This window comes from Homo sapiens, chromosome 18 (genome assembly GCF_000001405.40).
Source record: "Homo sapiens chromosome 18, GRCh38.p14 Primary Assembly".
Lineage (NCBI taxonomy): Eukaryota > Metazoa > Chordata > Mammalia > Primates > Hominidae > Homo > Homo sapiens.
In genome coordinates, this window is record NC_000018.10 from 6049175 (window position 1) to 6075886 (window position 26712).

Here is a 26712-nt window from a genome sequence, read left to right on the forward strand (position 1 = left end):
GAAACACCATTTTCTGAATATTGGCCTTGAATTTGACTAAAAAGCAATTGCAACGAAAACAAAATCTGACAAGTGGGACCTAATTAAACTAAGAAGTTTCTGCACAGCAAAAGAAATTATCAATAAACAGACAACCTACAAAATGGGAGAAAATATTCTCATACTGTGCATCCAACAAAGGTTTAATGTCCAGAATCTATAAGGAACTTAAACAAATCAACAAGCAAAAATCAAATAACCCCATTAAAAAGTAGGCAAAATGCATGAACAGACATTCCTCAATAGAAAACATACAAGTACCCATCAACAGTGGATTGGATAAAGAATATCTGGTACATATATATCATGGAATACTATGCAGCCATAAAAAATGAAATCATATCTTTTGCAACAACGTGGATGCAGCTGGAGGCCATTATCTTAAGTGAATTAACACCAGAACAGAAGATCAAATACTGCATGTACGTGGTTATAAGTGGGAGTTAAATATCACGTACTCATGGACATAAAGGTGGCAAAAATAGATACTGGAAACTAATAGAGGGAGGAGGGAGGAAAGGGGGCAAAGGTTGAAAAACTAACTATTGGGTGTTATGTTCAGTACTTGGGTGATGGGATTATTCACGCCCCAAACCTCAGCATCATGTAATATATCCGTATAACAAACCTGTACATGTAACCCTTGAATTGAAAATAAAAGTTGAAATTATTTTGAAAAAGGAAAGTAACTGCACACAAAGCTCAATTTGTAATTGCACAGAGCACACCTCTGCAATTCTCTCATGTTCTTTATTTGTTAATACAAATTTTTAACTGATCAGGATGTGAGCTAGCAAAATTCTATCGCAAAACATAGGTGAGAGTTCAGGAAGGCAGTAAATACAGGATACTGAGTATTATAAGTAAGAAATTACCCACAATACTCATGCTACTCAATTGGGCATAATAAGAGGCCAAACTTTTTTTAAAAAAATTATAAAGTGACATAGTGACAATGCGACATGGGAGGGTACTGGGTCAAAAGATGGATGCAAAGTTAATTATCTGTATCCCTTTCCTCTGGATAAAGAACTTGCGTAATCTGACTTCTCACCAAATCCTGTTCTCCCCTCATACTCTCCCACACGATGTCAGGGAAACGCTTTAGGACCATATAAAATCCTGGCTGATTTAGCTTTAGCATTTTCCTTTGAATAGAAACTGTAAAAACTAGTTACATTCACCATTCTGAAAAGCAATTAACCTTGTAGACTTTATAATGATAAAAATATTAATAAATTCACTGTGTAATTTTTACAATTTAAGAGCAAAGTTCCATAGTCTTTATAAATGGTTATACCCTCTATTATTACCTGTGCACAATAATTTCTAAAGTATATAGCTTAGGGCAACTCAACAAAATCAATGCCTAATATTTTCCAAAATGCAAATATAATCTGATGCCAGTGTGCTCTCATATTTTCTATTTGAATAAAATTCAGTAGCTCCATGGGCTGCTGCTGTGAAGTGTATGACTTCCGTTTTTTAATGAAATTTTTTCTCTTCTTCTCTTAGGGAAATAGCATGGGTCTGAAATGAGTTCTGGAGAGAGGGAGACAAAGCTAAGGGGGGGAATTTTTTATTCCTCCCAGCTCATAATGGGAAAAATAGAATAAGAAGCAAATTTTGTTGTAGAATGTGTATTGATCTGTTCTTAATGTGCTACATATTGAAGAATTCTGGACATGTGATATCAACACAGTTTGTGATCCTGTTTTTCTCTGGCCTCAGGTCTCTGGGGAAGCCGATGTGAGAGGTGCTGGTGGCAGCTGCCGCCAGGTCAGTGCTAGGCTGCAAGAGCCTGTGATGTTGATGCATGGACACCTTCTCAGCCTGAGGGAGGCACATCCCGCAGAACTCCTTTTGCTAGTATTCCACACTGTGTCTTTAGTGTATGCTAGTCAACAGAACACAGAGCACCAAGCTAATTTGGTTGCCAGTCCAGAAGGATCCTGACTAAAATTCTGCCGACTCTGGGGCAATGAGATGCCGCTGAGGTCATGACAGTCTGCATGAATATCTCCATTCAAGAATAAGGCAGCAGGCCGGGCGCAGTGGCTCACGCCTGTAATCCCAGCACTTTCGGAGGCTGTGGTGGATGGATCACCCGAGGTCAGGAGTTCGAGACCAGCCTGGCCAACATGGTGAAACCCCGTCTCTACTAAAAATACAAAAACTAGCCAGGCATGATGGCGCATGCCTGTAATCCCAGCTACTCAGGAGGCTGAGGCAGGAGAATCGCTTGAACTTGCGGGGCGGAGGTTGCAGTGAGCTGAGATCATGCCATTGCATTCCAGCCTGGGCGGCGCAGCAAGGCTCTGTCTCAAAAAAAAAAAAAGGAAGAAACGAATAGGGCAGCAAGCTTGATTTGCTTTCCTTGGTAGGACAGATTCAGTGGATGATTGCGGCCCTTTCTTCAAAATGTCGGCAGTGGATTGGGCGTGTTCTGTGACTGTGGTGGAGACAATGACTGTGGCCCTGGGTGGAGCCACCACCTTCCTGTATTTGTGGGACTGTCTGAGGAGGTGGTGCCTGTGCTAAGGGAAGGTTTCCTCCTCGGAGTGGTGAGCTGTGTTCACGGACCCCGGCACCGTAAGAGCCTATTTTTCAGCATGGCGTTCACTACACTACCTTAAGAATTCTTGGCTTGGCAGGATGAGTGTTAATAGTGGGGGAGAACTGAAAGTGGCCACTGTGGGGCTGGAACAGATATCACAGAAAACACCAGAGGAGTCTTGTAGAATTTCCCATCAGTAGAGACTCTGTCTCATTCAACATTGATGGTGCGTCTTTGGCTATTGAGCTCTGAGGTGTTTCCCTTGCAGTTTCCCTAATACCAATTGTTCAGTGAGAACATTTCTACTTTAGAAATGGGTTTTTTGAAAAGCAACTGGAGGCAGCTCCAAAGGCTTTGTAAGAACTTAGAGAAATATTTAGTAATGACTAAAAATTTCCTTTAAGTCGACTTCATAAGCATTTTCTCTTTGATGTTTTGATTTTTAAATTATGAATATACATAGCTACTGATAGCATGCTACCAACTGGAAATTCCTATTAACTGGCATGGTCGCATGGATAAATACAATTTAAAGTGATGTTAAAACAATGGCTCTGAAGTTAAGTCTACAGAGTGCTTTCTGAATCACAAAGCAATACAAATATGTTCAGCATTTTTCAGTATCAAATTAATTACACATTTTCAGAATATGGCAGTTTATATATAGCTAACTTTTAATAAAGAAATATATTGGATTGTAATAACTATGAATCAGTACTTACTCCCTGCCAGTTGCTGGCTACAGTGAACAGTGGGGCTTACTGCACTTCTACGCCTCTTGTGGAATAACAAATATCAGTCTTCAAACATTTAAGCAAATGAAAATAAAGGTCAAATATCCTTGTTTGCCCTTTGCAGCTGAAAGGGCAAGTTACACAATTCTTATGTATTTTTCCATCTAATCTTCTGAGGAAAGAAAGAGAATCTGAATTTACGTTTTGCAAATGGCTCACTTTTTCTTACTTTGCCAATAGTGGAGAATTTTCTGTTTCAAGACTCAGTGCGTTAGTAGGCTAATGGACATAAAGAATTCCAACACTGCTAGTTCTCAGGGAAAGAACAGGCCAACAAAATGGAAAATGTACTGCAGTGGACGAAATCGTGCTATACAAATGGAGTGCTGTAAATCCCTAAACTACAGTGCACACTTGTTGGCAAGGCAGAAACATTCACAATTCAGAGGATTCCAGCAGGACGTCCCGTTAATTTGTATTTCCCAGAACAAATTTATCATTCGGAAGAACAAGTCCAATAAACAAACGTTGATTATCAACCAGTCCTTGTTCATTGTGTCTTTCTATTTTTAAATGGTAGAAGGAGTGTCATGCATTTCCAGCTAGTGTTGGCTCTTCACAATACACTATGCTAAGACAGTAAAATAATTTCTAATCTAGTTAGGTGTGTTAGTAAAGCATCTGCTTGCATAGCTAAAATACTAATTTGTGATGGCAATAAACATAGAGAAAGAGGCAAGGGACTTATTTTCAGAAATGCTACAAAATTCACTCAGTACTGAGTTTCCACTGCAGGACTGGAACTGGGTTAGACTAAGAGGATGCGAAAATAAGTGAAGATTTCCTGCTTATAAGAATGTGAAAGTTGCTGGTACCAAAATGGAGTCACTTATGTCCAATCCTAACGAAATGGATACAGGAGGCCATGAAGGGAAGGCCCTCATGCACATTTGTCTGATAACTGGTACTATCACAAAAGGCTGCCAACACCACAACCTTCACAAAGGCCATCGCAACCTTGCACAAAGATTACTTCTGTGAGGATGCCTGCTCATTAATGGCCTGTTCACTAATAGACTGACTCACCCTTGTTATTAATACTTGTAGCCAAGGATAGTTGCTTCAAAACAACGAATGCAACTGCCCTCCTTTCCCCTTTAAAAACCTTGCCTTCCTTTGCTTCTCTGGTTGCGCCTATGGTCCACTGCAGCATGCGTATCCTAATGACAATTTCTTGCTATTCCCCAGTAAACTCTTTCTTTGGAGAGCTTGTCTCCCTCTGTTGTTATTTTAAGTTGATGGGAAGTTCACAGTCTAGTGGGCACATAAATGATATGTTCAATAAAGGCAGATGACCTAAATATGTGAAAAGTGACTGAAAAAAATCATGGCGTGCAAATGCTTTTGCAAAGTCTAATTGACATGCTTAGGTTAAGTTCTATACTTCAGAATGTATAAAAGACATTTTTTGCCTGTTTTTGCCAGGTGCTAGCAAACACAACACCTCTCTTCTGATGTTGCTCTTCAAGTCCCTCTGCTTCTTTCCTACCTGGGAGATAGAGGCTCTCAATGCTTTTGTGTGTTTGTCCATTCTTAGTGATAACATCTTCCCCACTAAAGACTCTCTAAACTCCATCTTTACAGCACTGTAGATCTTAGTATGCGAAACTGATGGACTGAGACACCTGACTCAGCCTGCATCGTCACAATTTTTTTTTCTTGGCAAACAGATTGTCTCATACATTGCTGTCACTTAAGTCCCCCAGAGTGCCCACCGGCTCGCATTAGGAGGCAGTGCAGGATGGCAGTCCAGTACAGGCTCTGTAGTAAGACCTGGATTCAGTCCCTGGCTCCATCCCTGAGGTGTGGAGTCAGGGGTATGAAAGTCAATTCCTGTACCTTAGTTTCCTCTCTCTGTGAGAATATCAAATCAGATACTCCCTCCAGGGGTTTACCACACTCAGTACTCTTACTGCCAGTGAATGGAACCACTTAGCAAACATCCTTCTTTTCCTCCGAGGCCCTCTGCCCTCGCCCCCGCCCCTTCCCTGACACTTCATTCCCCTCATCCTTTGGATCTGGGCCATGTCACTTTCCCAGAGACAGGCCCTGATCTCCCAGCCCTGTGCTGCCCTTGCCTGGCACTTATCTCAGCTGTAACCTCAAACAGATTAACGCTTCGCCACAGAGCTCCACAACAGCTCAGACCAGCGCTGCTCTTATTTACTGTGGTATGGCCTGTGCCTAGAATAATGCTGGGTATGTAAAGAATATGTCCTGGATGAACCCATGAATGATGCTGGGACCACAGACATGGTTCTGTGGAAATGCCGCAAGGCCCCTGCATGGCCAGGGAGGTGGCACCACACAACTGGGCTTCGGGCTCTTTTTCCCTTTCCCTGAAGCTCAGCTTCCCTCTGCTTCACTTACAGGTTATTCCACATGAATCCACTGGAAGACACTAAAATACAGTTGAAAACACCTGGTTTTAAGCCTCGTTCAGAGGAATTGCACCTTTAACCTCAGGAATCTGTGAGACAGTATGACTAGATACCTTAGCGCTGTCCATTTGGAGAAGCAAGTCAAATTTCATCTCATGCCTATTTTCAGTGACTAGTTATATCATCCTGAGTTACATATGAAAGAGAAACCATTTTAGTCATCCCAACTTCTCTTATGAATTTCCTAGATGTTCATGATGTTTAAAGATATTTTAACCTTTGGCACAATGAAGCCCCCCAAAGAAAATTTCTGACATTTTGGACATTCATTCTCTGATTAATTTATATTGTTAATGACATCTGATATTATGACCATGTTCACTTTGCTCAGACCTCATTATCTTTCAAATCACTAGGCTTAAAAGTTGTCAAGGCTGGGATAGAGGTGTAGGGTTCTATGCCCCAACCGTTAAGAGGAAGAACCATTCACCTGACCAGATATATTTGAAAGTAAGTTTTCTTCGATAGTATGTTAAAGGCACAGATTGATTGATTGATTGACTGATTGATTTTTTTGCTGGGGCAATCTAGACAGCTTGGTCAGCAAAGGTTTTTTATATTAAGGCTAAATAGAAAACAATGCTCAAACAAGAGTTACAACTTTGAAAACTTGTTATTCTCCAACCCTCATGTTAACAGAAGTGATTTTAAAAACCATCTTTTGATACAAAATATAATAAGGAAACAATTAAAAACCTCTGCAATTTAGCCAAGCACAAAGCATCATCTCACAGTGGTCCGGGGGAGGGGTGCCCAGTGCCAGAGAAACAGTGACTGAGTTGGAACCCAGATTCTCAGACCCCCAGGGAAGGATCCTTCCACTATTATACTTCATGATATGTATGTGAATCACAGATGACTAAGCTTTTGTCCTCAGCCTCTTCTCTGTATAAGGGACTTTGTGTTTATTTTTAAAGCATACTAATATCAACTGTGAACCATAATCTAATCACTATGCAAGTGGCTATAAGGCGATGACCTCAGAGTTGCACTGGTCAGCCAGGCGGAAAACGCCTCAGTGTTTCGGGGGGAGTGGTAGTTTCCTCTACTTTGTTTTAAAGCATGGATTTGGGTTGATATGTCCATATTTCATTAAACTAAAAGGAATCTGGGCTGTAAAATTCATTAACAGTGAGACAGCGATTCTGTCATTTCCAAGAAGAAATTTCTGGCCAAGCAGAAAGGCATTCTTCTTAAGAAAAAAGAGACTGTCATTAAACAAACAAGCATGTCAGAGACACTGAAATGGCTTTTGCCTTCGGACTTCAGCGCCAATCTATTCAGCACAAAGCAAAATTCTCAAAGTTTCAGCAGAAGTTTGCTTTTGTGTTTGAGCAAGAACTCAGCAGTAGTCAGACAGGAAGCAAAAGTCACTGCATCCTGAGCACACACACCACATGGGCCCCTGCTAGGCAGGAGGCACTGGGCAGGAGGCTCCCTCTGAAGTGTTATTAGCCTACTTCCAATGAATTTATGGAGAAATGTCTGAGTGCTGGTCAGACCTTTATATATAGTGTGCCTTATTTTTAATGCCCTTTCTTATGCACTCAGCTGCTTTGAGAGGTAGAGAAAGGCTCTCTATGCGACAGGCAAGGAGACTCAGGCCCACCCCCAGGGCTCAGCCACAAAGCGAGTTTGTGGCTGGGCTTAAAGTCAGGTCTCCAACCCCACTTCTAATGGCACTTTCCGTGAAACCACACAGTCAGTTAACTCCGTGGGTGTCCTGATGAAATGGTAGGCCATGGGGGAAAAGCTCTGGATTTGCAGAGGTCACTCTAAGCTGCAACTCTGTCATTATTGAGCTGTGTGACGTTGGGTAAATCACCTGCTCTGCAGATCAAGTGCCTCAACAGTAAAACAGAAACCACAATCTTTCAGAGGAAAAATGGGACAGACATGAAAGTAATTTATAAATGAAAACTGCTAGATGAACATATTGTTATTATCAGTATTACTATCATAGTGAACATATTAAGAAAACAGTTATTTGATGCCACTGCTAATTTTTCTTTTCTTTCTTTCTTTCTTTTTCTTTTTTTTTTTAAGATGGAATCTCGCTCTCTCATCCAGGCTGGAGTGCAGTGGCACAATATTGGTTCACTGCAACCTCTGCCTCCCAGGCTCAAGCGATTCTCCTGCCTCAGCCTCTCGAGTATCTGGGATTACAGGCATGCCACCACGCCCAGCTAATTTTTGTATTTTTAGTAGAGATGGGTTTTTGCCACGTTGGCCAGGCTGGTCTCAAACTCCTGACCTAAGGTGATCGTGATCTGCCTGCCTTGGGCTCCCAAAGTGCTAGGATTACAGGCATGGGCCATTGCGCCTGGCCAAAAGTATGTTTTTCATAATAACAGAATAAAAACTAGGCAAGAGTGTATAACAATCTATCACCACTGGGGAAAATTGGTTTTTATTTTTTAATTATCTCTTTCTAAAGGCAAATAAAAGAGAAAAATGTCATCAAAATACCTATATCTAAAAAACTCAGGAAACTTCTCTCTCTGTTTAGTTTCTACTTTCTTTAAATACTTCTTGTTTACTTTATTAATTTTTTTGTGATTATTTTATAATCTGACTTTTTCTGAACCTCAAAATCACTGAAAACTTGGCAGTCAAAATGTGAAGAAAAAAATGCATCAACTAAAAAGTATTCAAAAAAAGAAAACAAATCAACAATGAAAAACATTAAAAAATAATGAACGAGGGAGAACCACGTAAATAATAGAAGAAAGAGTTGTCTGTGCTAATAAATAAAGTCCATGACAAAAATGATACACGGTGTACCCCCACAAGGCAGCAGTAACCATAGCAACAAGACAAGCAGTGTACTCAGAGTGACTCAACCAAATACTTAACATATATCAGGTATAGTTCCTAAGCCTATTTTCATATGGTATTGAAATATTTTATGCCCCTTCCTTATCTAAAATTGCTCATAATAGCTATTCCTTTAATTTATAAAGAGATAAAAATTTCTTGTGTCTTAACTTTTGTAATAATCAACATGACTTAACTCAAGTATGCTGGAACCAGCAACAACTCTCATTTTCTAGTTCTCAGTAATGAATTTCAGTTGAACTGAAACAGATTGTCCAATGATACGTGTGGGAATCAAGACATCAAATCCTGATTCTTCTCCTTAGACATAAGGTGCTTGGCATTACTATTTATAAGTTTTATCTCTTAGAAATTTAATGAAATGTCAAAATAGCAGTGCTGTCTGGGTAGAGAATCCCAGGGCAATCTTTGTCTGAAGGTTTTTAAGAAAAGGAATTCCACGGCCTCATTCTCTACATTGCTCCAGTACCCTGAACCTTCTACCTAACACTTTTGCTGCATCCTTTAGAACAAGCCTTGAATTGTTCCTCATTGTCTGTGTCTTTATGGAGTATAAATCTCAGGTTTAGAAAACTTTTTCGTACAAAACAGGCCTGTCTCCCCAAGGAGACTATGAATCAGGGAAGTTTTTGTTTGTTTTTGTTGTTTTTTTTCAAGTCCACGGTACCCATAATCAAGAGAAAAAGTGTCTCACACTATCAATCTGATGGAGGGATGCAGGGGCTTTCTCTCTTTGATCCAAGGTATATTTGAAGGTAAAGGTTCTTTGCTCTGGCCTGGGGACATTTCCCTTTAGCACTGCAATTAGAGACAAAGAAGACAAAGCCTGGCAGTGCTGTGGGAGGAATGATGAATAAAGGAGAGAACTGCTTTACTTTGGGGGGCATCCTCTACACCCATAAATAATCCGTACATGTTCATAGACTCTAAGGATGGAAATGCCACATCTTTCAAAGCCAACATGCATGTTAATCTGATACCGGGAATAAGGTGAAGTTATTACAATTCCCTATCACCTTGCCTGGAATGGTGAGCCTGGAATCCAAGAATCTTAGAAGCCAGTTTTGGCTCCTGAGAAAAATACTGTGCAGTGTTGGAACACAAAGGTGCAATTATTCCAGTAATAAGATCTGCTTCTCCGGTTGTCTCTGGGCTGTCCACTCTCCCACAGCTCTGCACAGTCAATAGCCAAGGACCCTCAGCTGACGGCAGGTGTCAGATTACTATTCCAGCAGCAGTGTCAGAGGGACTGATTACGCATCTAGTCTGGAGTGATGTGGAAAGGTGAAGCTGCATTCTATTATAACCAGAGACAGTGTCAGTATGGAGAAGAGGATGTGTCAGAGACAGACTCCAGTTCGAGAGGGTTATTTCTGGAATACTCCAAGGAAGCCTCTGGCGTGGCTGCCCACATGCACCAGACTTGTTGCTGTGGAATGTGGTGTTCAGAGTTGTCACTCCCTCAAGCCTTGTACCTAAAAATAAGTATCTACGTATTAAAGCAGGTTTATTTTTACTCAGACTTTCTTATTCTTGCAGTATAACTTTTCTTCACATTTACAATTTCAAAATATTTTGTCAATAATGTTTATAATTCTTAAAAATCCATAAATCATAATCCATAAACCTTAAACCAAAGTCTTGTATTCCAGCAAGAAAACTGGCTTTCTCATTTTCATGTATTTCTGGAATTTGATAAGAAAAAATTTTGTATGAAAAGAAGGGCAAATGGATTTTTTTGAAGGATAATACAGAATATATTAAAAACCAAGCTAAAAAAAAAGCCTGATATCCTAGAAAGGAGACTAAGAGGGCACCCAGACCCCTCCACTCAGTTCCAAGAATCTTCTTCTCACTTAAAGCCTCATTGGCTGCTGTGATGACGCTTCTAGCAGAGCTGTGAGTGGAGGTGTTTCAGAAGATCTGTCAGGGAAACAAATTAATCATTTCAATCTTAGCACCTCCAAGCCTAGAGGCCATTAGAATGCCTAGAGGCCATTAGAATGGCAGCTGGTGTCTAACCTGGGATAAAGTTCTCTAGTATTTATTTTTTCTAAGTGAAGTAAGGCTAAAAGCTATCCATTGTAATGAGAAACTGACTACATTCTATTCTATCTTGTAAGCTTTTGTTATTAATATTTTAATTGACATCTAAAGAAAGTAGTAGAGTGCTGCAGGAGAGTATTATCAATAACAGATGCAATATCTGTGTTCCATAAGAACCAGTATCTTGTTTATGTTGTCTTACAACTCTATTGTCATTTATAATAGATATTTAATTTTTTCTAGGCTAAAATGGAGAATATTCATTACATACTCTCATTATGCCATCAGTTTCTTTTTCTTAATTGTCAGAATAGCATCCTTGAGCTATGTGGTTATCCAGCTCCTTCCCTTAGAATGATCTTTCAGTCCACTGCAAATAATTCCTTTCCTCTCCCCGCTACTCCAGTTTGTCCTATTCCTCTATGCCTAAAACATTAAAACGCATTCAGGTACACCAAATACTGCTGAGTCATTATGAAGATACGAAGTACTCGCAATCAGCTTTTTTTTTTTTCTTTTTAAAATTGATCTTTTATTTTTCAGGGCAGTTTTAGGTTTATAAAAAAAAAATTTAACAGACAGTACAGAGATTTCCCATATGCCCCCTTTACCCCTAATCCCATGTCTTCCCCTATTATTATCTTACATTAGTGTGGTACATTTCTCACAATTAATGTACCAATATTGATATATTATTAATATTATCAACTAAAAGTCCTTAGTTTACATTAGGGCTTTATATTGTACATTTCTATGGGTTCTGACAAATGCATAATGACATGTATCCACTATTGTCTTTTTGCTATCTCTGTAGCTTTGTCTTTTACAAAATATCCATATTCAAGTATATTGCATAGGCTTGGAATTATGTATGTAGCCCTTTCAGGCTGGCTTCTTTCACTTAGCAATATGCAATTAAGGCTCCTTCATGTCTTTTTGGTGCTAATTTCTTTTTATCACTGAATAATATTCCTTTGTATGAATATATCCACAGACTCACCTATTATCCATTCACCTATTGAAGGACATCTTGGTTGCTTCCGGTTTTGACAATTATAAATAAAGCTGCTGTAAACATTCATGTGGAGGTTTTTGTACAAATATAAGTTTTAAATTCATTTGCATAAATGCCTAGAAATGTGATTGCTGGATCATATGTTAAGTCTGTTTTACTTTCGTAAGAAACTTTGCAAGAAACTACCAAACTATCTTTCAAAGCGGCTGTACCATTTTGCTTCCCTACCAGCAATGGATGACAGAGTCCCTGTTGCTTCACATTAGTATGTCAGTGTTTTGATTTTAGCCCTTCTAGCAGGTTTTGTAGTGGTATCTCATTTTAATTTACAATTCCCAAGTGATATATGATGTTGATCTTTTAATATGCTTATTTATCATTTGTGTCTGCTGATATGTCTGTTCAGATCTTTGGCCTTTGAAAAATTGGATTGCTTTCTTACTGTTGAATATTAGCAGTTCTTTGTACATTTTGCGTACAATTCCTTTCTTAGATATATGTTTTGCAAATCTTTTGTTCCATTCTGGGACTCATTTTTTTCATTTGCTTAATGATTCTTTCATATAACAGAAATGTTTAGTTTTAATAAAGTCCAACTTATCTAGTTTCTTTTTCATGGTTTGTGCTTTCGGTGTTTATTCTAATAATCACCAAACTGAAGGCCACCTAGATTTTCTCCTTTGTTATCTTCTAGAAATTTTATTGTTTTGCATTTTACATTTAGATCCATGATCCATCCTGAGTTTGTTTCATTTTGAATTTGTTGCACTTGTTCTTTCTTTTCTAGTCTTCCTCTCTTTTTCTCCCTTCTCTGATTTTAATTGAGCACTTTATACGATTCAATTTTCTCTTCTCTCTTATCATATCAATTATACTTCTAAATTAAAAAACGTTTTTAGTGATTGCCCTGAAGTTTGCACTATACACTTACAACTTACCTAAGTCCTCTTTCTACTAGCGCTATACCATGCAAGCACCTTATAGCAGAATATTCCCCAATTCTCCCTCTCATCCCTTATGTTATTGCCGGCATTCATTTCACCTCTCCATAAGCTATACTCACCTAATTAATTTTTGCTATTGTTATTAAAAAATAGTTGAACAAACTGTTATCAATTAAGACTATAAAAAGTAAAATATTTTATGTTACCTTTATTTTTCCTTCTCTAATGCTCTTCCTTTAAGTAGTTCCGGGTTTCTGACCCATATAATTTTCCTTCTCTCTGGAAAACTTATTTTAAAATTTCTTGCAAGGCAGTTCTACTGGAGACAAATTTCCCCAGTTTTTGTTTGTCTGAGAAAGTCTTTATTCTTCCTTCACTTTTGAAGAATAGTTTTACCGCATACAGAATTATAGGTTGTGGGAAATTTCAATGCTTTAAACATTTCGCTCTACTCTCTTCTGGCTCACATAGTTTCTGAAGAGAAGTCCAGTGTAATTCTTATCACTGCTCCTCTATGGGTAAGGTGATTATTTTCCTCTGGCTTCTTTCAAGATTTTCTCTTCATCTTTGATTTTGTATAGTGTGAATATGACATATGTAGGTTCAGATGTTTTGATATTTATCCTTCTTGGTATTCTTTGTGCTTACTGGATATGTGTTTTAGTGTCTGCCATTAATTTTGAAAAATTCTCAGCCATTATCATTTCAAATATTTCTTCTGCTCCTTTTCTTCTTTCTTCTCTTTCTGGTATTCCCATTGCACGTTTACCCTTTGTAATTATCCCACAGTTCTCACAGTTCACGGATATTCTGTAATGTCTTTTTCATCTTTTTTTTCTCTTTGCTTTTTAGATTGGGAAGTTCTACGGACACAGCTTAAAGCCCACTGATGCTTTCTTCAGTCATGTTGACTCTGTTAACGAGCCCGTCAAAGGCATTCTTCATTTCTGTTATTTTGTTTTTGAATACTAGCATTTCCAATTTTTTTTTTTTTAATTTCAATAGTTTTGGGGATACAGGTGGTTTTTGGTTACATGGATGTTTTTTAGTGGTGATTCCTGAGATTTTAGTGCACCCGTCATCTAAGCAGTGTAAACTGTACCTAATATGCAGTCAATCTTTTATCCCTTACTCCCCTCTCAACCTTCCTCCCTGAGTCCCCAGAGTCCATTATATCACTCTTGTGTCTTTGCATCCTCATAGCTTAGCTCCCTCTTTTAAGTGAGAACATATGATATTTGGTTTTCCATTACTCAGTTAGTTCACTTAGAATAATGGCCTCCAGCTCTGCACAAGTTGCTACAAAAGGCATTATTTCATTTCTTTCTTTTTATGGCTGAGTAGTATTCCGTGGTGTATATATACCACATTTCCTTTATCCAGTCATTGGTCAATGGCACTTAGGTTAGTACTATATCTTTGCAACTGAGACTTGCGCTACTATAAATATCTGTGTGTGTGTGTGTGTGTGTGTGTGTGTGTGTGTGTGTATCTTTTTAATATAATGACTTATTTGCCTTTGGGTAGATACCCAGTAGTGGAATTGCTGGATCAAATGGTAGTTCTACTTTTAGTTCTTTAAAGAATCTCCATACTGTTTTTCCTAGTGGTTGCACTAGTTTACACTCCCACCAGCAGTGTAAAAGTGTTCCCTTTTCACCACATCCATGCCAACATCTATTGTTTTTTTGACTTTTTAATTAGGGCCATTCTTGCAGGAGTAAGGTGGTATCTCATTGCATTTCCCTGATGATTAGTGATATTGAGCATTTTTTCATATGTCTGTTGGCAGTTTGTATGTCTTCTTTTGAGAAATGTCTATTCATGTCCTTTGCCCACTTTTTGATGAGATTATTATTTTTTTTTCTTGCTGATTTGTTTGAGTACCCTGTAAATTCTGGATACTAGTCCTTTGTTAAATGCATAGTTTGCAAATATTTTCTCCCACTCTGTAGGTTGTCTGTTTACTCTGCTGATTATTTCTTTTGTTGCACAGACACTTTTTAGTTTAATTAGGTCCCATTTATTTATTTTTGTTTTTGCTGTATTTGCTTCTGGGGTCTTAGTCTTGAATTCTTTGCCTAAGCTAATGTCCAGAAGAGTTTTTCCAAAGTTATCTTCTATAATTTTTATGGTTTCAGGTCTTAGATTTAAGTTTTTGATCTATCTTGAGTTGATTTTTGTATAAGGTGAAAGATGGGGATCCAGTTTCATTCTTCTACATGTGGTTTGCCAGTTTTCCCAGCACCGTTTATTGAATAGGGTGCCCTTTCCCCAATTTATGTTTTTGTATGCTTTGTTGAAGATTACTTGGCTGTAAGTATTTGACTTTATTTCTGGGTTCTCTATTCAGTTCCATTGTTCTACATGCCTATTTTTTATACCAGTACCATGCCGCTTTGATAATTACAGCCTTGTAGTATAATTTGAAGTTGGGTAATGTGATGCCTCCATATTTGTTCTTTTTGCTTAGTATTGCTTTGGCTATGCAGGCTCTCTTTTCATTCCATATGAATTTTAGAATGGGTTTTTCTAGTTCTGTAAAGAATGATGATGGTATTTTGATGGGAATTGCATTGAATCTGTAGATTGCTTTTGGCAGTATAGTCATTTTCACAATATTGATTCTTCCCATCCATGAGCATGGGATGTGTTTCCACATGTTTGTGCCATCTATGATTTCTCTCAGCAGTGCTTTGTCATTTTCCTTGCAGAAGTCTTTCACCTCCTTGATTAAGTATATTCCTAGGTTTTTTTTTTTTTTCAGCAGCAGTTGAAAAGGGATTGAGTTCTTGATTTTATTTTTGGCTTAGTCATTGTTGGTGCCTACTGATTTGTGTACATTGATTTTGTAGCCTGAGACCTTACTGAATTTGTTTATGAGATCTAGGAGCTTTTTGGATGAGTCTTTAGGGTTTTCTAAGCATATTATCATATCATTGATGAATCGTGACAATCTGAGTTATTCTTTTCCACTTCAGATGCTTTTTATTTCTTTCCCTTGTTTGATTGCTCTGGTTAGGACTTCCAGTATTATGTTGAATAGAAGCGGTAAAAGTGGGCATCCTTGTCTTGTTCCAGTTCTCAGGGGGAATGCTTTAAACTCTTCGCCATTCAGCGTAATGTTGCCTGTGGGTTTACCTTATATGGCTTTTGTTATTTTGAGGTAAGCCCCTTCTATGTGTATTTTTTTGAGGGTTTTAGAATAAAGGGATGTTGAATTTTATAGAATGCTTTTTCTGTGTCTATTGAGATGATCATATGGTTTTTGTTTTTAATTCTATCTATATGATGTATCACATCTATTGACTTGCATATGTTAAACCATACCTGCAACCCTGGGATGAAATCTACTTGATCATAATGTATTATTATTATTTTTTGATGTGCTGTTGGATTTGGTCAGTTAGTATTTTGTTGAGGATTTTTGCATCTATGTTCATCAAGGATATTGTAGTTTTCTTTTTTTTGTTATGTCCTTTCCTGGTTTCGGTATTAGGGTGATACTGGCTTCATAGAATGATTTAGGAAGGATTCCTTCTTTATCTTTTGGAACTGTTTCAGTAGAATTGGTACCAATTCTTCTTCGAATGTTTGGTAGACTTCAGCTGTAAATCCATCTGGTCCTGGACTTTTTTGTTGTTGACGGCAATTTTTGTATTACTGATTAAATCTTGATGCCTGTTGTTGGTCTGTTCAGGGCTTCTATTTCTTCCTGATTTAATCTAGGATGGTTTTATGTCTCAGGACTTTATCCATTTCCTCTAGGGTTTCTAGTTTGTGTGCATAAAAGTGTTCATAGTAGCCTTGAATGATATTTTGTGTTTCTGTGGTATCAATTATAATATATCCAGTTTCATTTCCACTGAATAATTGAGCATATATGGATATTCTCTTTTTTTCTTGGTTAATCTTACTAATGGTCTATCAAATTTGTTTATCTTTTCAAAGAACCAGCTCTTAGTTTCATTTATCTTTTGTAATGTTCTTTTTGTTTCAATTTCATTTAGTTCTGCTCTGATCTTTAATATTTCTTTTCTTCTCTTGGGTTTGGGTTTAATTTGTTCTTTTACTCTAGTTTCTTGAGAAGTGATATTAGGTTGTCATTTTGTGCTGTTTCAGACTTTTTGATGTACACATTTAATACTATGAACTTTCCTGTTTGGGCTGCTTTTGCTGTATCCCAGAGGCTTTGATAAGTTCTGTCATTATTATCATTCATTTTCAAGAATTTTCTAATTTAGACCTTGATTTCATTGTTAAACCAAAAATTATTCAAGAGCAAATTATTTAACTTCCATGTATTCGTATAGTTTTGAGAATTCCTTTTGGAGTTGATTTCCAGTTTTATTCCACAGTGGTTTCAGAAGACCCTTGTTATGATTTCGATTTTTAAAAATTTATTGAGACTTGTTTTATGGTCTATCATATGGTCTATCTTGGAGAATGCTCCATGTGCTGATGAATAGAATGTATATTCTGTATTTGGGAAGACTGTTCTGTAAACACCTGTTAAGTCCATTTGTTCTAGGGTATAGTTTAAGTCTGGTGTTTCTTTGTTGAGTTTCTGTCTTGATGATCTTCTAGTACTGTTGGTGAAGTATTAAAGTGCCCCACTATTAGTGTGTTGCTGTCTACCTTATTTCTTGGGTCTAGTAGTAATTATTTTATAAATCTGAGAGCTCTAGGGTTAGGTGCATATAAATTTAGGATTGTAATATCTTCTTGTTGGACTAATCCTCTTATCATTACATAATGTCATTCTTTAACTGTCTTTTTTTAACTGTTGTTGCTTTAAAGTCTGTTTTGTGTGATATAAGAATAGCTACTTCTGCTCACTTTTGTTTCCAGTTGCATAGCATATTTTTTTCCACCCCTTTACCTTAAGTTTATGTGACTCCTTATGTGTTAGGTGGGTCTCTTGAACATAGCAGATATTTGGTTGATTTTTTTATGCATTCTGCCATTCTGTATCTTTTAAGTAGAACACTTAGGCCGTTTACGTTCAGCATTATTATTGAGATGTGAGGTACTGTTCTAGTGATCATATTAGATGTTGCCTAGATACTTTGTTTTTTTTTTTTTCATTGTGTTATTGTTTTATAGGACTTGTGAGATTTGTGCTTTAAGGAAGTTCTGTTTTGGTGCATATTTGTTTGTCAGCATTTGTTTGTCTGAGAAAGACTTTATCTCTCCTTCATTTATGAAGCTTAGTTTTTCTGGATACAAAATTCTTGGCTTACAATTATTTTGCTTAAGGAAGCCAAAGATAGGACCCCAGTCCCTTCTGGCTTGTAGGGTTTCTGCTGAGAAATCTGCTGTTAGTTGGATAGGTTTTCCTTTATAGGTCACCTTATGCTTTTGTCTCACAGCTCTTAAAACTCATTCCTTCATGTAGACTTTAGATAGCCTGATGACTATGTGCCTTGGTGATGATCTTTTTGCAATGAATTTCCCAGGAGTTCCTTGAGTTTTCTGTATTTGGATATATAGAGCTCTACCAAGGCCAAGGAAGTTTTCCTCAATTATTCCCTCAAATAAGTTGTCTAAACATTTAGACTTCTCTTTTCCCTCAGGAACACCAATTATTCTTAGATTTGGCCATTTTACATGATCCCATATTTCTTGTACACTTTATTCATTTCTTGAGATTCTTTTTTCTTCATCTTTGACTGGGTTAATTCTAGAGCCTGATCTTTGAGCTCCAAGATTCTTTCTAGTCTATTGAAGAAACTTTTCCACTGTATTTTGCATTTCCCTAAGTGTGACTTTCATTTCCAGAAGTTCTGACTGGTTTTACTTCATGACATCAATCTCTCTGGAAAATTTTCATTCATATCCTAAATTTAAAAAAAAAATTTCTTTATGTTGTTTTTTACCTTTCTCTAGTATCTCCTTGAGTAATTTAATAAGCAACCTTCTGAATTCTTTATCTGGTATTTCAAAGATTTAATCTTGGTTTGGATCCATTGCTGAAAGCTAGTGTGATTTCTTGCGGATGCTGTAGAACCCCATTTTGTCATATTACCAGAATTACTTTTCTGGTTTCTTCTTATTTTGGGTGGACCATTTCTTCAAATTGTTCTTAAATTTATTTTTGATTTGACTGTGTTTTTTTCTTTAATTTCTTCTTTTCCCTCTTAAGGATCTGACTTTAATGTTTATCATTTATTATAGCCTAATTTGATTCTTAATGCTTTTAGTGGGGAAGACTCTGTAGGAGTTCCTTAAAGAGAGTTTTTGTGCGCTGGCTTTCCCAGACGCTGGTTGCAGTAACCATGCATTTGGCCTGTGGGTAAGTTCACTGTCTCCTGTAGGGTTGGAATGGCTAGGATCTCTTGAAGCTTATCTCATTCTCCCATGGTGTACACCTTTTTATTTATTTAATTTTTTCCCAGTATTTTATTTACTAAGCTGATGATTCAGCCTTCAGGCCAATAGGAGAGGTATCCCTGGGGTAGGTATTGGTGGTAGCTAAAGAGATGCATAGATATATCTAATGGTGGGCAGAGGTCCCAGCCTTGATGAAGGTGCCTGGGGGAGCTCTAAATTAAATGTGCTGAGGTTTTATCAGAGTGAAGGGTGGAAGCCACCTCAGCTCCCCTGCCAGGCAAGCAGGAAAGCTATCCACCTTCCTGTCCCAGTATTCCAGCTATTCAGATCAGACAGGTAACTCTTTGCATCTGTAGGAATGTTGATGTTCCAAGTAGAGAGGAGTTGTGACTCTGCAAGCCTGAATTTGAGAAGTGCTCCTCCTGTGGGGATGCAATCACCCTAAATTGTTCCTGGAAGGCCATCTATATGTGCATCTACACTGCATTCCTCTGGGAGAAGCCCCAGCTGTGTGTGCAGTGGTGTACCAGTGGGAAAAGGACCCCCTTTCCAAGCCCCTTTATGATCAGAGATGCTGCCTGATTGTTGGGGTAGAGGTGTAGACTTTCTTTACTGCACCCAGCACTGCAATTGTGTCTCTGCTATAAGAAACGTCCCACTAGTGGAAAGATCTGGGACTCAAGGCCTGCCATTCAGATTCTTTTTCCCATGGGATGTTCCCTTGATGTGATGCTCTCCCCCTTCCCCTAGGAATGAGACTTCCTGAGACCCAGACCACAGTGATTGTTAGTGCTCTTCTGGGTCTAGATACCCAGTGGGACTACCACACTTTGAGCTGATGCTGGGGAATGTCTGCAAGGGATCCAGAAATGTGAACTAATTTCAAGTCTCCCAGCAGTGTACACCAGCACCATCTTTGATGGAGATGGCAGGGCAGTTACATACACTCTGTGAGATTTCTTGGTTGGAGATAAGGCTTAGTGTGCTGGATTTCTCAAATGAGAGTTACAATTGCAGTGAACTTGCCACATGGACAGGCTCAGGACCTCTGGTTAGTCAGGGTGTTGTACGCAGTGGTGATATCTGAGGTCACATAGTCATTTTCTCCTTCCTGGGCGCATTCTACCTAGAGGTGCTTAATGGACTGTGTTGGATGGCCTCCAGCCACGAGGTGGCATTTGCAAAAGAGCAACCAGCTGCAGTAGTAGCAGTGGGATTTAAGCTTGCCATAAGTTGCTGCAGGAAAGTGTTGTTTTTTTTTTTCCTCAGGTGACAGGCAGGGCTATAAAGTTCCCCAAAGTTTATGTCCTTTGTGTTAAGCTACCAGGGTGGGTGAAGGGGCACAACCAAGTGAGGGCAGGGTTAGGCGGGTCTGTGCTCTGACTCTTCTTGAGCTGGGCTAGCTGCGGCCACTGTGAGGATTGGGAGGTGGTTCTCAGGCCACTGGGCTAATGTTCCAGAAGGGAGTATAACTGCCTCTTCTGCACAGAAGAGTTCACAAAGGTAGTGGGGAGGAGCAGGCAGCAGTAAGCCTCACCCAGCTCCCATGCAGTTGGCGAGGCTGATATCACTCACTCAGTGCTCCAATAACAAAGGCAAAAGATGACTCAGATAAATAACGGTGACTAATGTGTTTACAAAATTAGATGGCAAGATAGAGAATTTTACTCAAGAACTAAGGTCTATTAAAATCATACATAGGTAAATTGCTAAACTAAGAAATAAACAATAATTTAATTAAAAATTAATTACATGAGTGTAATAGCAGTTTGGAGACAGCTGAAGAGAGAATCACTGATCTTGAAAATAGGCCACTAGAAAAATATCCAGGCTGAAGCATGTACTAAAAACGGAGGGGAAATAATGAAAAGAGCTCTTAAGACATAACTAAGAAAGTCTAATATATTCGCAGATGGAGTCTCAATAGGGGAAATGAGAGAGAATGGAGCATAAACAATATTTGAGGAGATAATGGTCAAATTTTTCAAAGTGGTAAAAAGCCATACACCCACAGATTTAAGCACTATGAATCCTAAAGAGACAAATATAAGGCACTTCATAGTAAAACTGCTAAAAATGAAAGACAACAGAAAAATCTTATAAGTAATCAGATAAAATGTGACACACTCCAAGACATACTCCTTTCAAACAGACACAATAAAGCTACAGCTGACTTCTTGAGAGAAACAATAGAAGTCAGAAGCCAACGGATTACCATATTTAAAGCCTGAAAAAAAATTAACTGCCAATCTAGAATTCTATAACCTGTAAAAATATTCTTCAAAAGTTTGGGTGAAAAAAGGATATTTCTGGACAAAGAAAAACTTACTCAAAAAAAAAAAAAAAATCAGCTAGGCCAAGCGCAGTGGCTCATGTGTGTAATCCCACACTTTGGGAGGTCAAAGTGGGCAGATTGTTTGAACCCAGGAGTTTGAGAAAAGCCTGAGCAACATAGTGAGATCCCATCTTTACAAAAAACAAAAAACAAAAAACAAAAAAAACAAAAATTAGCCGGGCATGGTGGCACACACCTGTAGGCCCAGCTACTCCAGAGGCTGAGGTGGGAGGATCACTTGAGCCCCGCAGGTTGAGGCTGCATTGAGCTGTGATCGCACCACTGCACTCCAGCCTGGGTGACAGAGTGAAACCCTGTCTAAAAAAATAATAATAACTAGAAGACACTATGAATGAAGTACAAAAGATAATTTTTCAGATAGAGGAAAAATGATTCTATATAAAGATAAAGATGCATTTTGTAGTAGCTGGGATATCTACTAACAGAATATTAAAAATAAATAAACAACAAGCTAATAGAGGGAGAATGGTATACTCACATGAATTTTGGTTTAAAAAGATACAGCAAAAATATAAAATTGAATACAAACTACTGAGAAAAATAGAAAACAATTATAGAGATGGTAGCAATAGGCTGGACACAGTGGCTTATACCTGTTATCCCAGCACTTTGGGAGGCCAAGGTGGGGAGATCACTTGAGGCTAGGAGTTTGAGACCAGCCTGGCCAACATGGTGAAACCCTGTCTCTACTAAAAACACAAAAATTAGCTGGGCATGGTGGTACACATCTGTAATCCCAGCTACTTGTGAGGCTGAGGCATCAGAATCACTTGAACCCAGGAGGTGGAGGTTGCAGGAAGCCAGGATTACACCACTGCACTTCAGCTGGGAGACAGAGTGAGACTCTTTCAATTAAAAAAAAAAAAAAAAAGATAGTAGCCCTAAGTCCAACTTAACACTAATAACATTAGATAGAAATGTATTAAATCCTTCAATTAAGAGACTCCTGTTGACTGGGTGCAGTGACTCACACCTGTAATCCCAGCACTTTGAGAGGCTGAGGTAAGAGGATTGCTTGAGTCTGGGAGGCCAAGGTTGCAGTAAGCCATAATCACGCCACTGCTCTCCAGTCTGGGGTGACAGAGATAGATCCCATAAAAAAGAAAGAAAGAAAAAGAAGAAAGAAAGAAGGAAAAAAAGAAAGAGAGAAAGAAAGAAAGAAAGAAAGAAAGAAAGAAGGAAAGAAAGAAGGAAAGAAAGAAGGAAGGAAAGAAAGAAAGAAAAAAAGAAAGAAAGAAAGAAAGAAAGAAAGAAAGAAAGAAAGAAAAAGAAAGAAAGGAAAGAAAGAAAGAAAGAAAGAGAAAGAGAGAGAGGGAGGGAGGGAGGAAGGAAGAAAGGAAGGAAGGAAGAAAGATTGTTATTAGATTGGATTTACACATAAAAATCACACGCCACTTGGAAGTGTCACATTAAATATAAGGACAATGATGGAGCATATAAAAGGACGGAAATAAATATAACAAACAAATACTAATCAAAATAATACTGCTAATATCAGACAAAGGAAACAAAGGTAAGAAGCAATTGGAGAAATAAAATACATATTTCAAAATGTTGAAGGGTCAATTGATTACTAATATTCTAATGTTCTAATTTTCATGAGCCTAGTAATATAGCCTAAAAATGTGTATAATAAAAGGAAAACCAGGTAATATCACAACCATAGTAGAGGACTTTAACACATTTTTTCAGGAATCAAATGAATAAGCAGGAAGAAATGTATCAGTAAAGATAATAAAGATCTAACGGTATGATTAACAATTGCTCAGAGTATACTCTCTGACCACAGTGGAATAAAATTCAAAATCAATAACAAAAAGTTAATAAAATCCCCAAATATCTGGAAATGAATCAGTATATTTCTTCATACCACATATAAAAGAAAAACAATGTAAATGAGAAAATATTTTGAATTAAATTATTATGAAATCTGACAAATCAAAACTCATGGAATGCAGGAAAAGCCATGCTTAAATTAACGCTAATATAGTTTTAGGTGCATATATTAAAATATATTTAAAGGCCGGGAGCGGTGGCTCACGCTTGTAATCCCAGCACTCTGGGAGGCCGAGGCGGGTGAATCATGAGGTCAGGAGATCCAGACCATCCTGGCTAACACAGTGAAACCCTGTCTCTACTAAAAAACACACACACACACACAAAAAAAAATTAGCTGGGCGTAGTGGCGGGCCCCTGTAGTCCCAGCTACTCGGGAGGCTGAAGCAGGAGTATGGCATGAACCCGGGAGGTGGAGCTTGCAATGAGCCCAGATCGTGCCACTGCACTCCAGCACTCTAGCCTGGGTGACAGAGAGAGAGACTCCGTCTCAAAAAAAAAAAAAAAAATATATATATATATATATATATATATATATATATATATATATATACACACATACATATTTAAAAACAAAATATCTAAGTAATAATTTAAAGAAGTTAGAAAAATGACGGTAAATTAAAGCCAAAGAGAGTGGAAGGCAGGAAGGCAGAAATATAATAGCAGAAATTAATAACAGAGAAAACAAATGCACACTAGAGAAAATCAACACAGCCAAAAATTGGTCCATTGTAAAGATAAGTAAACCTTTAGCAGGATTAATTGAAACAGACAGAGGCAAAAACAGAGAGAGAGAGAGTGAGAGAGACAGAGGGGGAGAGAAAACGCACAAGCACATAAACATCAATTTCAGGAATGAAAAAGGAACATAACTATAGAATCTGCAGACACTGAAAAGCTAATCAGAGGGTATTATAAACAACTCAATAGCAACAGACTTGAAAATTTAAATGAAATATACAAATTCCTAGAAAAACTAATACAAGAAGAAATTTTAAAAATCTAAAGTCCTCAATCTATTAAAGAAATTGAATCTACAATTAAAATTCTTTCAATAAAAAAAACTTCAGTTTTTTTCCTGTCTGTGAATTCATCTAAACAGTTAAAAAAGAAATGTTGTGAATCTTACATAAACTCTTGGTGATAATGGAGAAAGAGGGAATATCAAAACGAGATGAAGAAGACATTACAAGAAGGAAAACTACAGATCAGCTTCTCCTGTGAACATATTTGAAACAGTCCTTAATAAAACACAGGGAGTTCTCACTTAGCATGGTAGTCAGGGGGTATAAAATTGACGATGCAAGCTGAAGCCATGCAAACTGAGCTTAATAATCAATGGGGAAAATTGTAATTCTTTTTTCACGAACTTCACAAATTTTGGTCAAAATATTAACAACTCTTTTAACTAGTAAAAGTAATATTTAATTAGTATGCTGTGGTTTATAACATTTAATACATTGAGATAAGGTGTTTTGTTTCTTTGTTAAAAAAAAACTTATCACGAGTTTTCTGAGGAGTGTTTGCTTTCTTTTTGTCATATAGCTGTGAATGAAGACAGCATCTTTTCCATTCCTTGGTAAACTGTCATATTCCTAAGTTAGATTCACTTCTAACATTTTATCCTTTGCACTTACAATGTTGTGAAATATCTCTGAGAGTTCCTTTAATGTGAAGTGTTTTTTTGTTTGTTTGTTTTGTTTTTTTGTTTGTTTTTTGCCAGCATCACTTTCTGTGGGACATCTTCATGCTGTTCGTCATAACCCCTTTCTTCATTTATGTCAATGAGCTTACCGTCACTAAGTTCCCTGGCCGCACGTCTAGAATCTTGAATGGAGGTAGGGTCAGCATTTCTATGGTTGGCTATTTTTCCTTTGAATATGTTTACATTCGATTAGAATTTCACTTCCAGTGTTATCCCTTCCTTTCTTCTTTACTGTACTTTCATATTTGTTGGCCAATGCCCTCTCTGGAGTGTCCAGTTTTGTAAAATGTTATGTGGGTTTATCACTGGGTGACAAGCAGGCTACACAACTATATACTTGGCTGTCATGTTGTCCGTGTGTGAACTGAACAACACTGATTGGTCAATGCTGTGACCAATCACCAACAGACTTTGAAAGAGGTAATGTTATTGGTCACTGATGATGATGAGAGCTGTTATTTATGTAATGATTTGTAAACTAAAGAGCCAGTGCTTTGTGCAATCAATCACTCGCAGTTAACATATCTTGGTAAATGAAGCCTGACTATGTTGTTGGGGGACTGGTGTTATTTAACTAAATGGTGGTAACTGAAATTCATTCATATTAGAAGCATGCAAAGTGAGGTCTACCTATACAAGTAAAGACATTGGTTCTTTCTTGATCTGGGTGCTGGTACATAGATGTTTGTTTTGTTCAGATTCATTCAGCAATACAGTATCATTTTTACATTTTCCCAACTTATGACATATTCCAGCTAAAAATTTCCTTGGAAATTATTTTAATATAATTCAGCACATTAAAAGAATAAAGGAGAAAATTCACATGATCATCTCTATACAAGCAGAAAAAGCATTTGATAAAATTCAGGAACATATATAAAAAGAAAAACTAGAAATGGAGGCAATTTCCTCAATCCACTATGCAGCATTATAAAAAACTACATCAAGCATCAATTAGGTATTAAAGAATACCTAATCAAACAGAAGGATGATCATGTTCATGAATTGGAAGATGCCAATTCACCTGAAATAAAACTATACATTCAATGCAATTCTAATTAAAATCAGAGTAGTTTGTATGATGTGTGTGTGTAAGTGAACAAGCTGATAAGAAATGTAAAGGAACAAGAATAGTTAGGGCAATCTCAAAGAAAAAGAACAAAAATGGAGGAGCGGCATTCTTAGCTATCAGAATTTATCATATAAAGTTATGTAATCAAGACACCATAGTATTGGCACAAGAATAGCCAAGTAAACCAATGGAATAGAACGGAGTCCAGAAACAGACCCACACATAAATGGTTACTCGATTTATGACAAGTATGAACTACTTGTGTTACTACTGAGCAATAGGGAAATGACTTTTTAATAAATGGTGCTGGGTCAACTGAATATTCAAAGAAAAAGTAAATCTTCGCCTCTATGTTACACCATGCATAAAATCACTTATAGGTACACTGTAGATCTAAATGTGAAAGATAAAAAAATAAAGATTCTAGAATAAAAATCAGCAAAATGAACATGTGGTTGACAAAAACTATAAATGGCACACTAAAAGCATTAATCAAAATAGAACTGATAGACTATATTAAAATCTGGAATTTGCATTCATCACAAGGCATCATTAAGAGTGTGAAAAGGCAAATGGTAGACTGGAGAAGATATCTGTAATACAATTATAAAACAATGAACTCATATATTGATCCAAAGAACTCCTACATATCAATAAAAAAAGACAATGTAAAAGACAAATGAGAAAGATACTTCATAAAAGAAGATATTCAAATAGCCAATAAACATGAAAA

At 37.5% G+C, this 26712-nt stretch overlaps 1 protein-coding gene across 24 annotated transcripts in view, besides 1 other annotated feature; it reads right to left on the reverse strand.

Moving 5' to 3' along the window:
- The window catches only part of L3MBTL4 (L3MBTL histone methyl-lysine binding protein 4), a 460543-nt gene that overhangs the window by 94458 nt on the left and 339373 nt on the right, over positions 1–26712 (reverse strand). The window contains exon 17 of one of the 24 annotated variants that reach the window (XM_011525762.3): positions 771–10144. The exons of the other annotated variants lie outside the window; for them this stretch is intronic. Within the exon in view, the coding sequence (XP_011524064.1) occupies positions 9885–10144 (260 nt within the window). The 3' untranslated portion in view covers positions 771–9884. Of the gene's footprint in view, positions 1–770; positions 10145–26712 lie in introns of those variants that run through there. 24 annotated transcript variants of the gene reach the window in all.
- Positions 6636–6930: an enhancer, noted in NCBI's record as "tiled region #6254; K562 Activating non-DNase unmatched - State 24:Quies". NCBI's record gives its function as "activates a minimal TATA promoter and a strong SV40 promoter by Sharpr-MPRA in K562 cells {active_cell/tissue: K562}" and the evidence as "EXISTENCE:reporter gene assay evidence [ECO:0000049][PMID:27701403]".